This window comes from Homo sapiens, chromosome 13 (assembly GCF_000001405.40).
Source record: "Homo sapiens chromosome 13, GRCh38.p14 Primary Assembly".
In the NCBI taxonomy this organism is placed as follows: domain Eukaryota; kingdom Metazoa; phylum Chordata; class Mammalia; order Primates; family Hominidae; genus Homo; species Homo sapiens.
In genome coordinates, this window is record NC_000013.11 from 24414226 (window position 1) to 24432023 (window position 17798).

Consider the following 17798-nt stretch of genomic DNA (forward strand, 5'->3'; position numbering starts at 1 on the left):
TTTGCCTTTTCTCTCTCTCAGGAGTATCTTCTGGTTAACAGAAGTTCTTAGTTGTCTTACCATCATAGGTATCATGCTTTCCCTTTATAAAGTTTGTATTTTTGTGTCCTGATTAAGACAATTCTCCTTGAGTTTAAAGGACATTTTACTACTATATTTTCTTCTAGAAGGTTCATTCCTTTTAAAATTGATTTATGTGTGCGATGTGAGGAAGGCATCAGGTTTCATCTTTTTCCATGTATGGCTATCCAGTCATTCCAGCACACTGGTTGAGAAGATTTTCATTTCTTTACTACCCTGAAGAACATGAATCTGTTTCTGACCTTTCTATTCTGTTCATTGATTTTTCATCTTTGTGCCAATAGCACAACTATTTTACTGTTGCTTTCTAATACGTCCTCATTTCCAGTCATGTGAGTATAATCATCTTTTTCTTTTTCTTCACAATTGTTTGGGTGTTTTAGGTCACCTACTTTTCCATATAAATTTGGAAATCAACTAGTCAAATTACACACACCGGATAGAAATTTGTTTGGAATTGCATTGAATTTATAGACTGGGGAGAATTGAATCTTTACAACATTGACTCATCCCACCCATGAACAGAGGTATTCTCTCATTTAGTTAGGTCCTCTTCAGTTTCTCTTTACAATGCTTTCTCGTTTTCTGTATAGAAAGCTTGCATATTTTTGGTGAGATTTATTCCTAGATATTTGATATTTTATGGTTATTTAAATGATATCCCTTTAAAAATATTTTCTAAATGTTTTTTGTTGTTTTAAATACAGCTCATTTTATTTATTAATCTTGCAATTAGCAACTTTCCTAAACTCATTTTTTTTTTTTTGAGGTAGGGTCTCTTTCTGTCACCCAGGCTGGAGTGCAGTGGCATGATCACAGCTCACTACAGCCTCAACCTCCCTGGGCTCAGGTGATCCTCCTATATCAGCCTCTTGAGTAGCTAGGACTGCAGGCAGGTGCCACCATGCCCAGGTGATTTTTTTTATTTTTTTGTACAGATTGGGTTTCGCTATGTTGCCCAGGTTGGTCTCAAACTCCTGGGCTCAAGTGATCTGCCAGCCTCAGCCTCTGCCTCCCAAAGTGCTAGGACTGCAGGCCTGAGCCACCATGCCCAGCCTAAACTCACTTATTAGTTCTACTAATTTATCTATAGATTCTTTTGGATTTTATGGTACATGATTACATCATATAAAAATAGTAAATTGTATTTTTTCCATTTCAGTCATTTCTCTCCCCTAGCACTGGCTAGAACCTTCAGTACAGTGTAGAATTAGAAGTGGCAATAGCAGCCATCAACATATAGTTCCATTCTCCAGGGAAAGGCTTTCAACATCTCCCCAATTGCTTTACGAGTGTGTGTGTGTGTGTGTGTGTGTGTGTGTGTGTGTGAGCTACCATTTATCAGATTAAGAAATTTCTTGGCTGGGCACCATGGCTTACACCTGTAATCCCAGTACTTTCAGAGGCCCAGGATGGGCAGATCACTTGAGGCCAGGAGTTCGAGACCAGCCTGGGCAACATGGTGAAACCCTGTCTCTACTAAAAAATACAAAAATTTGCCAGGTGTGGTGGCACATGCCTGTAATCCCAGCTACTCCAGCTGAGGCATGAGATTCACTTGAACCCAGGAGGCAGAGGTTGCAGTGAGCCAAGATTGCACAGTGCTCTCCAGCGTGGATGACAGAGTGAAACTCTGTCTCAAAAAACAAAACAAACAAAAAGAAAAAAGAAATTAGTTTGCTAAGAGTTTTTTTTTTTTTAAATCATGAGTGGATGTTGAATTTTTAAAGATTTTTCTGAATCTTTGAGATGATGTGGTTAATTACATTGATTAAGTGGTAAACCAACATATTCCTGGAATAAATGTAATTTAGTTGTGCTTTATTATTTTGTTAAATAATTATTAAATAATTTTATTATTAAATTGCCAGATTCTGTTTGTTAATATTTTGTTTAGGATTTTCAAATTCATGTCATCTGGGAGAGTGGTTATAATTTTCCTTTCTCACAGTTTTTTCAAATTTTGGCTTCATAAAATGAGTTACATTTCATTTTCTCTATTTTTCTTCTCTGGGTAAATTTATGCATGCTGATTTTTTTCCTTCTTAAGTGTAAAGTGAAATTCACCAGTGAACGCACATTGGCCTAGAGTTTTCTCTGGAGAGAAGTCTTTAAATTATGGCTCAATTCCATATATAGAATGTTTTTATAATTTTATTTCTTTTGCCAATTTTGGTAGATTATAGTTTTCCCAGCATTTGTCCATTTAATCTAACTTTGCAAATGTCTTGACATCAAATTGTTCACAATATCATTTTACCATTTTAATGTCTACAGAGGTGTTCCCTTTTTTATTCCTGACATTGCTTTCTTGGTGCCTTCTCCCCTTTTTTCTTTTGATTAGTCTCACCAGGGATTTATCAATTTTACTAGTCTTTTAAAAGTACCAAATTTTTGGCCTTACTGGTGGTCTCTATTTTTTATTTCATCAATTACTATGATATTTAGTATTTTCTTCTGTAGTCCTTGGGTTAATTTGTTCTTTTCCTGACTTCTTGACATGGATAATTCTTAGAGTGTCAACCACTCTCTTTTCTATTTACCATTTAAGGCTACAAGTTTTCCTCTAAGAATTGCTTTAGCTTCATTCCATAAATTTTTATTTGTATTGTTTTTATTTTACTTAGTTCAAACTATTTTCCAATTTTGACTGTGCTTGTTTTTTTTTTTTTGACCCATGAGTTATGTAGAAGTATACTTCCTTATTTCCAAACATATGAGAATTTTGTTTTTAAATTTTTGATTTCTGATTATATTGTGTTGTGGACACAGAACATACTATGTATTTTTTTCTTTTAGTTCTTTGAAATTTGTTTAGACTTGCTTTACGGCCCAGAATATGGTCAATACTGTCAAATGTTTTCTGTACATTTGAAAAGAACATGTATTATGCATTGTTGAGAACAGTGTTCTATGTACATCTATTTGTTAATTATTTTATTTAACCCTTCTATATTCCTACTGATGTTCTACTTTTGTTTGATTGAATTTTAATAATGTAATTCTTTCCTTCTCACCCTCTATCATTACCTTCAAAGTCATATACTCATTTTCTGTTTTTAGTAATTACTGTAAAGATTTCAACCGCATCCTTGACTTAGCTATTATTTTTTGTTTATGTTGAGCCTGCATCTAGAAATCTTCCTAAACTCTCTCATTAGATTAAGGAGCTATTCTGTAGACTTACTTACTATACTGACTTTCTACACTGTTTAGGCTCTGTAGTATATTGTTAAATGGAAGCAAAGAAGAGAGGACATTTTTGTTTAATTCCAGGCTTTGAAGAAAATGCTGTCAATATTATGTCATTAATATGATGTTCCTGGTAGGTATTTGGGTAGATTCTCTTTGTTGAGTTAAGGAAGTTTCCTAGTTGTTGTTAATTTTTAAAGTCACAGGTGCAGGCTGAATTTTAGTGAATGCTTTTTCCTACACTAATTGAGATAATTGTAAGGTGTGTCTTCTTTAATTGATGAATATGATAAATTGCATTAACATAGATTTCTGATATAGGATGATTCGTATTCTTTTATTATGTTTTTTAATGGGCAAAAGACTTTTATTCTTTTTGAGCTTAGATTTTTGGTATAATTTAACTTTTAGATTTGGAAGTACATATGCAGGTTTATTGGTAATATTGTGTGATGCTGAGGTTTGGGGTGTGAGTGATCGCATCACCCATGTACTGAGCACAGGACCCAATAGTTAGTTTTTCAACCTGTGCCCTTTTCTGCTGTGCCCCCTCTAGAACTCCCCAGGGTCCATTATTGCCACCTTGATATCCATGAGCACCCATTGTTTAGCTTTCACTTATGAGTGAGAGCATATGGTATTTGGTTTTTTGTTTCTGCATTAATTTTCTCAGGATAATGACTTCCAGCTGCATCCATGATACTGCAAAGGACATAATTTCTTTTCTTTTTTCTTTTTTTTGAGATGGAGTTTCACTCTTGTTGCCCAGGCTGGAGTGCAATGGCATGATCTTGGCTCAGTGCAAACTCCACCTCCCAGGTTCAAGCGATTCTCCTGCCTCAGCCTCCCAAGTAGCTGGGATTACAAGTGCTTGCCACCATGCCTGGGTAATTTTTGTATTTTTAGTAGAGATGGAGTTTCACTATGTTGGCCAGGCTGCTCTTGAACTCCTGACCTCAGGTGACCCACCCGCCTCCGCCTCCCAAAGTGCTGGGATTATAGGCGTGAGCCACTGCGCCCAGCCGTGATTTTAATTTTTTTATGAGTGTGTAGTATTCCATGGTGTATATGTACCACATTTTCTTTATCCAGTCCACCATTGATGGGCACCTAGGTTGATTCTATGTCTTTCCTATTGTCAATGGTGCTGAGAAGAGCATACAGTGCATGTGTCCTTTTGGTAGAACTTACTTTCCTTTGGATGTATACCCAGTAATGGGATTGCAATGTCAAATGGTAGTTCTATGTTTTCATATGTTTGTTGGCCACTGGTATGTCTTCTTTTGAGATGTGTACGTTTATATCTTTTGCCCATTTTTAATGGGGTTATTTGTTTTGAAGATACAATCAATTTATGATCCTGGGAGAGCAAGAAGCAAGGAGCCAGCAAGTCTGGACACATTCCAGAGGCCACGAAGGGTTTTATGCCCTGAGCCCTGGATTCCATCCAAGCCACGAGGGGTTTTATGCCCTGGGCTTAGGTTGTAGTGCGGCAGGGCAGCCTTCCACTCTTAAGTACAGAGCTTGGTGTTCCATAGGCCACAAGAGGTTTCAAACTCTGGACCCAGGACATGTTCCAAGACTCTTTATATTATGTCAGACTAGCAAGTGTTGCCTCAGCTTTTCGCCCAACAATTGGACTGATGAGATGCTCCACTGTGCCCAAGCATCATGGGTTCTTAGAACAAGGCCCTGCACGCACCAAATATGTTCCTGTCACCACAGTCCACTAGCCCTTCAACTATAAATGTGCACAGGAGTCGCCTGGGGGCCTTGCTAAATAAAATGCAGCTTCTGATTCAATAGCCTCGAACAGGACCAGAGATTCTGCCTGTCTTGATGAGCTCCTGAGTGAGGGAGACAATGCCAGTCCACAGACTCACACTTTGAGATACAGCACCTGGGCCACTGTGTTCAAATATGCTTGATAACCTGGAACACCTATTAAATATCCAAGTTGCCAGGATTTTCTTCTGGAAATCTTGATTCAGCATGTTTTGGATGGAGCCTTGGACGTTTGGGAAAACTAGAATTTCTTTCTTTCCCTTTAGACAAAAGTCAACTACTGCTGAGGCACGGGCTTAATAAATGTTGACTAAAATATCCAACTCAACGACCAATCCTGTGTAATTTTCAAACTGTGTCAGTAACTTGCTGGGTCCAACCTCCATACCCTGGCCGTGTGACGGATGAAGAAATGCACTCAGACACAGGTATCCCATGAAACAGCAGGCTAGGGGACCGGCAGCTCCCAGACACTGAGGAGGGTGCTGTAAAGAGTCAGCAGCTGTGGCCCTGACAGGCTGGGGCTCCAGGCATTTATTCAGTACAGATTTAAGGACAAAGGTCTTAAGTAAACACCACTAGAGGGTAATTAACATTGCTGACCTCCCAAGTAGACGGCAGTCACGTGCCTGCAGATTATCAAAGGTTGATCTTAGGACCACATGAGTAAACAAGCCATTTAGATAAACTCCTCTACATTCCTATGTATCTACGCCCTGAGCTTTTAAGAGAATTCAGCTGCCTTCAGCCAAATCTTTTACTGAAGCTATGCAAACCTCCTGGCCTTCCAAGAAGTTTTGTGTCTGTTTCCTACAACTTAATTTTTATAATTTCTCCCACCACCCTGACAGATCCCCTACAAAAGATCATGTTTCTTCTCAGATTGCTCAGTCCAGCTGAGCCAGCTTTCCACTGGACTCCTGAATGTGAGAAGGACACAGGCTCCCAGGACTATCCAGAAGCATCTCTCATCACCTTAAAACTCTGAAACACCGGCTGGGTGCAGAGGCTTATGCCTGTAATCCCAACACATTCAGAGGCTGAGGTGGGAGGATCGCTTGAGGTCAGAAATTCAAGACAAGCCTAGGCAGCAGAGCAAGACCCCATCTCTACAAAAAGTACACCCCAAAATTAGCTGGGTGTGGTGGCACATGCCTGTAGTCTCAATTAATTGGGAGGCTGAGGCAGGACTATCCCTTGAGCCCAGGAGTTTGAGGCTGCAGTGAGGTATGATCGCACCACCACACTCCAGCCTGGGAGACAGATTGAGACCATCTCTAAAACAACAACAACAGGCCGGGCACAGTGGCTCACACCTGTAATCCCAGCAATTTGGGAGGCCGAGGCGGGTGGAACACCTGAGGTCAGGAGTTCGAGACCAGCCTGGGCAACCTGGTGAAATCCCATCTCTACTAAAAATATAAAAAATTAGCAGGGCATGGTGGCAGGTGCCTATAATCCTAGTTACTCGGGAGGCTGAGGCAGGAGAATTGCTTGCACCAAGGAGGCAGAGGTTGCAGTGAGCTGAGATCACGTCATTGCACTCCAGTCTGGGCAACAAGAGCAAAACTTTGTCTCAAAAAAAAAAAAAAAAAAAAAAAATACATAAAAAAATCAACAAAAAAAATGAGACACAGAAAACTGAAATATTTTAAGTTTCATTTTATTATTGCTTGTTAGTTGATTAAAGTAATTCTTCTTCCACTTAATTTTTAAAGACAGTAATTGCTACACTGAATGAAACCTTAATGAAGTTTCATTATAAGTATCTATTATCATTTGATTATTTTCTACATAGAAGCATGCAAAAAGTTTAAAATTCAGTTTCATTTGACTTAGCCTTGACTGTAATGGAGGACTCTATGAAGAGGGGACACAGTGCTTATGGGCTGGAGTCCCAGCAACTGCTTGGTGGCAGAGTCCCAGTCGTTCCCCAGTTCAAGCCGTGGGCAGATAGATGGGTACTGTCCTTCAGTTCTTCTTACCCATTCACTTGCTTGCTTTATTGCCTCAAAAGCCCAGGGAATATTCCTAGATTAAAAAAAAAAGTTTCAGATTTCAGAATATAACATGTGAAATGTAATGTGGTACTAAACCCATCACATTATATCAGACAAAATGATTCTGCCAAAAATTAAGATATTTAATAAAAGCAGTTTTCCTTGGCATCTTACGGAAGTTCTTCTGCCCGTCTGACCTTGAGCTTATGCACTGCATTGTCAAGTGCCCTGTGCCCGCCACCTCCTGGCTTCCACGTGCCTCCAGGCATCCCTGCTGCCTGCAGCACAGCTCACGTTCCAGCCGCTCTACAGTTGTTTATGGTTGTCCCCTTTCCACGCTTCTCAGTCTAAATCCTATCCATTCTTCACGCACAAACTCAAGTACTATTTCACAAATGAGGCTTCTGTTTCTCTCTCCTTCCCACTGTACTGACTTGATTAGGTACCTTCAGAATATCTGAGAGTCCCCCATGAAACTGGCATACATTCAGTTGTGTCACGTAAACCAGGAACAACTTGGTAGAATAAGCATATCGAGTCAAGTCTGTGTCCACTAAATGGTGTCAAATATTTGAGACTGTTGAATATTCAAGTCTATTCAACACTCAGAAAAATTCTGAGGTTGTTCATTAATATTAATTAGCTACTTCCTCATTTGTTCTGTCATCTGCTAGAACTTGTTAGTGAACAAGGGGCAACATATACCAAAGTTCTTCAGAAAATTCTATGGGGAAACTTAATATTTTGAAAATTCTCTCCCTGTTCCTGAATTTTCCCTGTGAACTGGGAAAGGGCCGTCAGTATAGCGTGGTGGTTAAGAGCTGGGTTTGAGTCCTGACTCTGCAATCACATGATATTGGCCATGTGATACTGTGTGGCTTTCATTCAACACTGGGAATCTCAGTTTCCTCAATTATGAGAATAACCTGAGGTCCTATGGGTTTGTGGTGGAAATCAACAAAGCTTACAAACTTAACATGCTTACTAGTCCCTAGTGCACAGTAGGCACTCAATAAATGTTCGCTGAATGTCATGATACTAAATCATGATGAACATACTAAATAAGAAGCATGCCCAAAGTGGTTAAAAGACCAATGTTTCCTAGTAAATATTCATCTACTGATAGTTACTAACTGCTGAAAACAACAAAACTGGCTTTGAATATTTTTACTGATTGGCCTCTACACTTTTTGGTTCACATTCCGCTAGCAAGAAAATCTTGTGCCTACACCCCCATATAATGTGCTCTTGCATCAATGTTATGTACATCCTGAAATAGAAAATATAGAACAAAGTTTCAAATATGCAATAAACAGGAAATAAAAAATATTTAATTTTTTTTTTTAGATGGAGTCTCACTGTGTCGCCAGGCTGGAGTGCAGGGACACGATCTCGGTTCACTGCAACCTCTGACTCCTTGGTTCAAGTGATTCTCCTGCCTCAGCCTCCTGTGTAGCTGGGATTACAGACACGTGCCACCACACCCAGCTAGTTTTTGTATTTTTAGTAGAGACGGGGTTTCACCATCTTGGCCAGGATGGTCTCAATCTCTTAACCTTGTGATCTGTCCGCCTCAACCTCCCAAAGTGCTGGAATTACAGCTGTGAGTCACCGTGTCTGGCCTAAAATTGTTTGTCTTATGTACTCAAGTGCCAACAAACCATTTTGCTAGCACAGTAGCAGTAATGGAGTAAGAGCAATATGCTGGAATATACTTGATCAATTTTGAAAATCTTTACTTTATGATATTACAGTTCAAAAGCAGGTTCAAAGTTTATACTTGTTTTAACAGCTATAATATTAATAATTGGCAATGATCTAAATAGAATAAATGCGTCTTTGGATGTGCCTATTAAGTCAATACTAATTTTTTAGTCCCACCTCCTAGCTGTTCAAAGTGTTTTTTCTTTGATATTTATTTAATTAATCCTCTTGGCAAGTGGCACTGGTTTATTTTAAAATAAAATACAAAAAATAGGCTAGTGTAGTGGCTCACTCCTGTAATCCCAGAACTTTGAGAGGCCAATGCAGGCAGATCACTTGAGGCCAGAGTTCGAGACCAGCCTGGCCAACATGGCGAAACCTCATCTCTACCACAAATATAAAAATTAGCTGTGCACACCTCTAATTCCAGCTACTCAGGAGGCTGAGGCACGAGAATTGCTTGAAACTGGGAGGTGGAGGTTGCAGTGAGCCGAGATCGTGCCACTGCACGCCAGCCTGGGTGACAGAACGAGATCTGGCCTCAAAAAATAAATAAATAAATAAAAACAAAACAAAAAAAAAGAAAACTCCCAAAATAGAAAAACAAAATAAATTCTCATCTTTCTTGGCAAACTAATGAGAAGGTATTGCTTTTTAAAAAATGGAAGTATAAATTACATATAGTAAATTATGATTTTCTTTTTTTTTCAGACAGGGTCTCGCTTTGTTGCCCAGGCTGGAGTGCAGTGGCACGATCACAACTCACTGCAGCCTCAACCTCCTGGGCTCAAGCAATCCCCCCGACCTCAGCTTCCTGAGTAGTCACACACTACCACACTCGGGTAATTTTAAATTTTTTTGTGGAGACAGGGTCTTGCTATGTGGTCAAGGCTGGTCTTGAACTCCTGGATGCAATCCTCCTGCCTTGGCCTCCCAAAGTGCTGGGATTACAGGTGTGAGCCACCGTGCCCAGCAATGCCTGGGTAATTACAAAAAGTTTTTTGTAGAGATGGCAGTCTCATTGGTTACCTAGGCTGGTCTTAAACTTCTGGGCTTGATCTTGGTGGGCTCAAGTGACCCTCCCGTCTCAGCCTCCTAAAGTGCTTGGATTATAGGCATGAGCCAATTTGCCTAGCCCAGAACTTCCTGAACACCTGTTTTGTGTTTGAGAACTTTTTCTTAATCATGACACTTAAAAAATAATTATCAATATTTCTTTAATATCATAAAATATCCAGGTAGTGTTTAATTTTTCCTATCTCATTTTTTTAAATGCAGTGGGTTTTGTTTGTATCAGGACCTAAACAAGGTCTACCCTTGCTTTTGGTTGATATGTCTCTAAAGGTTTATTTACAGGTTCTGCTCCTCAACCTTTTTTTTCTATTGCCATTTATTTTTCTCTTGCCATTTATTTCCCCACATTCCAGACTTCGCTGACTGCATTTCCATGGTGTCAAGTAACATGTTCCTCTATTCTCTGATCTAATTCAAGTTTAGAAATCAAGGGGTTTTGTTTAACTTCTTTGATTTTATACATATTAGTTTCTAACAATATTAATATCTACCTTCCAAAATAACAAATCAAAAGTATTATTAACACCATGACTACTCCCAGTGAGATTTCTTTGTAATATTTTTTAATCCTTAGGTACTATCCCACTAGAGAGATATAGTCAAATTATGTACTTTTTTTTTTTTTTTTGAGACGGAGTCTCACTCTGTCACCCAGGCTGGAGTGCAGTGGCACGATCTTGACTCACTGCAAGCTCTGCCTCCCAGGTTCACGCCATTCTCCTGCCTCAGCCTCCCCAGTACCTGGGACTACAGGCACCCGCCATCACACCTGGCGAATTTTTTTTTTTTTTTGTATTTTTTTTAGTAGAGACAGGGTTTCACCATGTTAGCCAAGATGGTCTCGATCTCCCAACCTCGTGATCTGCCCACCTCGGCCTCCCAAAGTGCTGGGATTACAGGCGTGAGCCACCGCGCCCGGCCAGTACTATGTTTTAAATTCACCTTAAATTAATTCCCAGGATGGGCACAGTGGTTCATGTCTGTAATCCCAGCACTTCAGGAGGCTGACGCGGGAGGATTGCTTGAGTTCAGGAGTTCCAGACCTGCCTGGGTAACATGGCAAAGCCCCTTCTTTACAAAAATACCAAAATTAGCAGGGCGTGGTGGTGCACACCTGTAGTCCCAGTTACTCAGGAGGCTGAGGTGGGAGGATGGCTTGAGCCCAGGAGGCGGAGGTTGCAGTGAGCTGAGATTGCACCACTGCACTCCAGCCTGGGCGATAGAGCCAGACTTTGTCTCAATAAATAAATAAATAAATATCAATCTTATGCATTATTATGTAAAATATTTACACAGTTCCAAAGTCAAAACTGCAAAACAAAGCACACTAGGAGAAACCTAGCTTCTATCTTTGTCCCCTCTATCAAATCCCCGTAGCAATAATATTATTAGTTTGATTAGTTTTCCCCTTATCTTGCCTTTAAAAGAACATAAGCCAATTACATGTGTATGTATATGTGTATATGTGTATGCATGTGTGCATGTGTGTGTGTGTGTGTGTGTGTGTGTATATCTATATCTATATCTATATCTATATCTATATCTATATATCTCAGAGGGATCCTACTCTGGTCTTGACCCTCTTGCCATGGGGTGGGGGGTCTGTAGGGACAAGAGAATATGCCCACCCCAGAGCCCATATCCTCCTTTTTAGACCCTGCAACTCCAGCATCCCTGACCACATGGCCCTGAGTCCACTTCCAGGGTCTTCCCTGGTCTGTCATCCTGAGTTTGAACAGTGTTGCCATCTCACTGGTGCTACAAGGTGGCTGGTGTGAGGGGGCACTGGCATGGGGTCTGGATGGCATTTTGATGGGTGGGGTGGGGTATTCACGTTTGCAGGCAAACCCTCTTAGGGTGCTGGGGGTCAACCAAGGGCCGAATTTGAACCTGGCCTTCCAGGTGGTTATGAAGTTGTATTTGCCAAGGGAGGAGATTAGAACACATTTAATCTAATAGTTTGCTAGTTTGATTTATAACCTTTAAACACTTGTTATAAACTACAAAGTTATAAACTTTAAATACTTGTATTGTATTCTTGTCCCAGGCCCTGCCATTGTTGGGAACAGGGCTGGGCCCAACAGTCACATTGTGGGTCTTCTGGAGGCACCCAGGATCAGCAGACTGCAGTGAAGAGTACCACATCCAGAGCCCAGAAGCGCCAGCCTCCAGCGGGAGCTGCACTGAAACTCTTTGAGCCCATTTCCTGTGCAGCCCAAGGCACAAATACATCAGCCCTGCCCGCCACAGGAGACTATGGGCAAGCTGTCACCTGCAAACAAATTCTCTTGCTACATACTTATAGTGTACACATGTAAGATAATTCCCTATAGCTGTTTCTAAGGTTTATTAAATAAATAGTTGAAAATATAAATAAGTTGCATAATACTATAGTTAAAGCCACCTGGAAATAGAAGCGTCATCCATTTTCATCAGTGATTTGAACACTATTCCCTCTTTTTCCAACCTGGTGCGAATAAACTGTAGTACCAGCATTGTGGCAATTAGGTCCAGGAGACATTCTCTTCCTTTTACACCTAAAAGGAAAAAAACTCCGTTAAGTCTGTTGGAAACTCTGCATCTCAAACTGTGCCTGTTTATAAAATTCTCATTAAAGAATTACAATACGCCATCTGGCTAACACAATGAAACTCCATCTCTGCTAAAAAAAAAAATACAAAAAATTAGCCGGGGGTGGCAGGCACCTGTAGTCCCAGCTACTCGGGAGGCTGAGGCAGGAGAACGGCGTGAACCCGGGAGGCGGAGCTTGCAGTGAGCCGAGATCACTCCACTGCACTCCAGCCTGGGCGACAGAGTGAGACTCTGTCTCAAAAAAAAAAAAAAAAAAAAAAAAAAGAATTATAATACGGTTAAATCACAGTACATGAGCAGATCGTGAAACTCTAATACTCTTCAAGGTCCTTAAATGGTTTGCTGTTTAAATAAAAAATGAGGACAGTTAGACCCGTGTGCCTATGATATTATCCTGATCATTGTCAGGAAACTGAACTGTATCCAGAGTGCCCCTCACTTGCCATCTTCAATAACCAAAGAGCCATGAAGTTCACTAAAAGAAATCCAGTTTTTAGGCTCCTGTTACAAATAGCTTAGAAGAGTAAACCTAAATATTCAACAGATAAACAACAGATATGACTAATTACACTGGTGTATCAAATTATTTCTAGTGGTTAGTACCTATAGGTATCCAAGATATTTTACTATATTATGAAATATCAAAATTGAAAAATGAATGTTTACATGTGTTGAACTCAATTAACAACCCATTTTCATTTTAAAAATCCAAGCTTCTTTTTTTTTTTTTTTTTGGAGAAGACAGGGGCTCACTCTGTCATGCTGGAGTGCAGTGGGTGTGATCAGAGCTCACTGTAGCCCCCAACTCCTGGACTCAAGTGATCCTCCTACTTTGGCTTCCCAAAGTGTTGAGATTATAGGCAAGAGCCACAACACATAGCCAAAAAATGGTTTTAGGGAAGAAAAGAAAAACCCAAATCTTTGTCTTATAATTAAGAATATACAATTACTTTTTTTGAGTAAAGACAAAAGGACTTGGCATAGTATGTACATATCTGCATATACACCATTAATTTTACATCGTTGAGGTAGCCAAAACTGCTCGTAAGTGGGCTTTTATTAAATAATATAATGTTCTTAATAGAGGAAAAAGGAATTGAATACATTTTTAAAAACAAAATAACAAAACCAATCCATTGTCCCACAAAAGAAAATCAGTGGAGACAAAAGCAGTTTAATTTGCTGGATTCTTTTGTGGCTTATTTTTTGAGTATTATTTACAAAATGTTAGACTAATTTTTAAGCAATATTAATAATAAGCAACATACAACTCCAAGAATAATATAATAAATAATAAACTGATGAAATACCTAATGTGTATCAGCGTCATTTAAAAAACAAATTCAGAAGGAGAGGGGATGATAAAAGAGAAATGAAGAAGAGGATAAAAGACAAAGTTGGGTACAGAGATATAAAAACAAGTCAGAGAAAAAAGACAGCTTGAGACTCTACGTCGAAGAAGGAAGGCAGAAAAGCACACGCTTACAGAAAAATAACACAGATAATAGGGAGCAATACAGTGAAACACAGGAAAAGCCCATGGATAAGGCACATCTGTGAAATCCCATCCCCTTGCATCTGTGACTCAATTTTCTCCAGTTTTCCTCTTGTTTCTCAGGCCGCTCCTTCTCAGCGTCTTTGCTGTTTCTTGTCCAGTCTGAACACTAAACCCTGCTGTGCAGCAGGCTGGTCCTAGCACCTGCTCTGCTCAGTCCACCTTCTTTCTTTGGGTGATCTCATCCAGAGCCAGGCTTTAAATACTACTAACGTTGAGAATTTTCCCAGTCTTTTCCAATTCTGACCTCTTCCATGAGCTCCAGCCTCACTTGACAATATATTTATCTTGAATTTTTATCTCACTTTGTCACCTGGGCTGGAGTGCAGTGGCACAATCACTGCTCACTGCAGCCTCAACATCCCAGGGCTCAGGTGATCCTCCCACCTCAGCCTCCTAAGTAGCTGGGACCACAGGTACACGCCACCATGCCTGGCTAATTTTTGTAGAGATGGGGTTTCACCATGTTGGCCAGGCTGGTCTCGAAATCCTGAGCTCAAATGATCTGCCCCCTTTGGCCTCCCAAAGTGCAGGCATTACTGGTGTGAGCCACTGTGCCTGGCTTATCTTTGGTTTTCAACAGTTTGACTCTGGCCTATCTAAATGTGGTCATTTTTGTATTTATAGTGCTTGGAGTTCTGCTGAGTTTGTTGGATCTGGAAGGTGCTGTCTTTGATCAATTTTACAAAAATGTTCAAATATTTTTCTATCTAACCTTTCACCTTCTGAAACCCTGGTTACACAAATGTTAAACCTTTTGATATCATTCCACAGTCTTGGCTCCTCTGTTCTTTTTTCATTCTATTTTTTTTCTTTCTATATTTCAGTTTAGGTAAGTTTATTGAGTGCATTGTCAATCGAATTAAATGATTTTTTTCCTGTTCTGTCCATTCTGTTGTTAAGCTCATTCAATGACCTTTTCATTGCAGATACTATATTTTCCAGTTCTAGGATTTTAATTTGGTTTTTCTTTATAGTTTCCATCTATTTGCTGAGATTCTGCGATTCACCCATTCCATCCTTTTCTGGTAAGTCAATCCTTCACTATATTTTTAATAGCAGTTTTAAAGTCTGTGTCTGCTAATTCTAACATCTGGGTCATCTGTGGGTCAGCATTTATAGCCCATTTTCCCCTTGATCATGATCATATTGTCCTGCTTCTTCGTATGTTATTAAATTTTCATTCCATACTGAACATTAAAAATGACGCCTTGTAGAGACTCTCAGCTATGCTATCTTACTCTAAAGAATGTTCAGTTTTGTTCTGGTAGGTCCTGTGTAGGCTTTGTTTTAGGCTTTATTAGGATGGGTCTATTTTGGCTTATCCCTATGTCCTGGGGTATAGTCCTTGATCATGAGATATGATCCTTATGACCCTTTTATGGTTTCAATGGAAAGATATTTATAAAGTCTCTCTAATTTGGTGCCACTTGAACTCTAAACTCTGGCCAGTACTAGGCAGCAGCTGAAATCTCTGCTTAGCTCTGTAGCTTCCCAGCTGTTGCTTTTTTCTGGATTCCTTGAGGTTGCACCTGTATATGTAGAGGTTAGGAGACAGCCAAGGATCTGCGGGGTATCTGGATGCAGATTTCAGAGTTCCCTGCTCTGTGGTTCCCTCCTTTATAGGATTTTAATCCTTAACTTCCAGCCACTTTGGCAACCTTAAACTCCAACCCCATGTCCTCATCCCGTTAAGACTTTCTGTTTTAGTTCAAACATCCCATTGTGTCTCATGAGCTGAGAAATGCCTTTAGGTGACAAGCTGGATACGTGTGGAGCCCACCTAGTTGGCTTTCTTTCTTTCAAAGATTATGTTCACTCTAGCTTCTGCCTGTTTTGGATTATTCTCCTGGCCTTCAAAGAATGGTTTTAAATATTTTATTCAAAGTTAATAACTGTTATTGGCAGGAGAGTTAGTCAGATAGAGGCTCTTCTATTATTCCAGGATCAAGCACTCACTCCTCACGTAAATTGTCATCACCCCTTTTTGGCCTAGTGCAGGTCAAACAGGCTATGCATTTGCCCACCCACCCAGCCTGGAATATGAAAACTCTGGCATTTTAGAGGTGATGGTGGGGCAGTGAGACGCTGCTGCTCTATCTATCCATGAATATTGGCTAGTTGTTTAATAATGTGTATTTTATTTAAAAAAAAAATCTCCAGGCTGAGCATGGTGGCTCATGCCTGTAATCCCAACACTTTGGGAGGCCAAGGTGGGCAGATTGCTTGAGCTCACAAGTTCGAGACCACACTGGACAACATGGCAAAACCCCATCTCTACCAAAAAATACAAAAATTAGTCAGGCATAGTGGCAGGTGCCTGTAGTCCCAGCTACTCAGGAGGCTTAGGTGGGAGGATCCCTTGAGCCTGGGAGGTAGAAGTTGCAGTCAGCCGAGATAGTACCACTGCACTCCAGCCTGGGCAAGGGAGCCAGATCTTGTCTCAAAACAAACAAACAAACAACAGCTCCTGTCCTAGGGCTAGCATTTGACCTTCAAACCACTTGCTGGGTCAAGGATGCTCAGGACTTCCTCATCTATCCCCTTGTTGTCATGATAGGAAACAGGTCCAGAGGTTGAACAACTGCCTCTGGCAGAGGCTGGCTAGGAGCTCATCAGAGCTCTTTTCTCCTCCTGGACACGCAGCTTAACAGTACATTTCTCAGGCCTTCGTACATGGATGGGGCTATGTGACTAGTATTCTTCCTCTTGTCTAGCAGGGGGATGATGCCAGGGTAATCTTTGTTCTTCTCTCTTACCAGGATAATTTTAAAGACATATATTGAAGATGGTGGAGCCACAGTATGGAAGGAGTCAAGGTCTCTAAATGACCACATAAGTGGAACTTTCTTCCTGACCAATACTTGACTGTGATACGGACAAAAAAGTAATCTTTGATTACCATGTTAAGCTTCTGAGATTTTTTTTACAGCACTTGGTGCTATTTATGCTAATAAATTTGCTCAGATAATACCCTAATTAGTGGTAAAAATATGACTAGAAACCCATCTCCCATTTCCTTTAATGGTTAAATATAATTCCATTCGAATATAACTTTCATAATTATTACATTAATACACTAGCTTACAAAACAGTTTACAACAATTAGGAGCATGCTTATTAATGAATGAAAATAATGACTTAATAAATGGAAACATAGTGCCTTACCTAGAGATTGAATGCCTTTTTGTTTAAGAAAGCTGTGCAAACCATTTGTATTAAGATTTAATATAAGTCCCAGTTCTGGTGTAAGTTTCCAGAAGCCATCCTACAAAATTAAGGAAACAAAAATAAGTTATGTTATTCACATTTTATCACATAAGAAGTTACGTAGTGGGGGAAGGAGTGGGGCAAGGGTTGAAAAACATATTTTCACTACTTGGGCAACAAGACAATTAGAAGCCCAAACCTCAGCACCACACGGTATGCCCATGTAATAAACCTGTACGTGTACCTCTGCATCTAAAATAAAACTTTAACAAATTAAATGAAAAAAGAAGTTATGTGATAAATGTTTCCATTTATTTCAGTTAATTAAGGCATTTCTAACATTTTTATTACTGTAAAATAAAGTTCTTCATACACTAGTGACATAGTATTGTTTGGAACCTCATAAATGCTATGAACACTACATATCTGGTGGCACTTATAAAAAGTGTGGAAAGAGGCTCATGGGTAGAGATTTTTTAATTTTTATTTTAGTAGAGACGGGGTTTCACCATGTCAGCCAGAATGGTCTCAATCTCCTGACCTCATGATCCACCCGCCTCGGCCTCCCAAAGTGCTGGGATTACAGGCGTGAGCCACCATACCCG

General features: G+C 40.0%; 1 protein-coding gene across 1 annotated transcript in view, besides 1 other annotated feature; it reads right to left on the reverse strand.

The window, feature by feature from the left end:
- Window positions 5388-5893: an enhancer, noted in NCBI's record as "NANOG hESC enhancer chr13:24993751-24994256 (GRCh37/hg19 assembly coordinates)". NCBI's record gives its function as "activates a minimal SCP1, AML or CMV promoter by ChIP-STARR-seq in naive H9 embryonic stem cells {active_cell/tissue: H9 hESC(naive)}" and the evidence as "EXISTENCE:reporter gene assay evidence [ECO:0000049][PMID:30033119]".
- Window positions 6706-17798, reverse strand: part of PARP4 (poly(ADP-ribose) polymerase family member 4) — a 91848-nt gene continuing 80755 nt past the window's right edge. The window contains exons 32-34 of the mRNA NM_006437.4: window positions 17152-17251; window positions 12241-12373; window positions 6706-7089 (exon numbers count right to left, since the gene is read on the reverse strand). Coding sequence (NP_006428.2) covers window positions 6894-7089; window positions 12241-12373; window positions 17152-17251 — 429 coding nt within the window. The 3' untranslated portion in view covers window positions 6706-6893. The remainder of the gene's footprint in view (window positions 7090-12240; window positions 12374-17151; window positions 17252-17798) is intronic.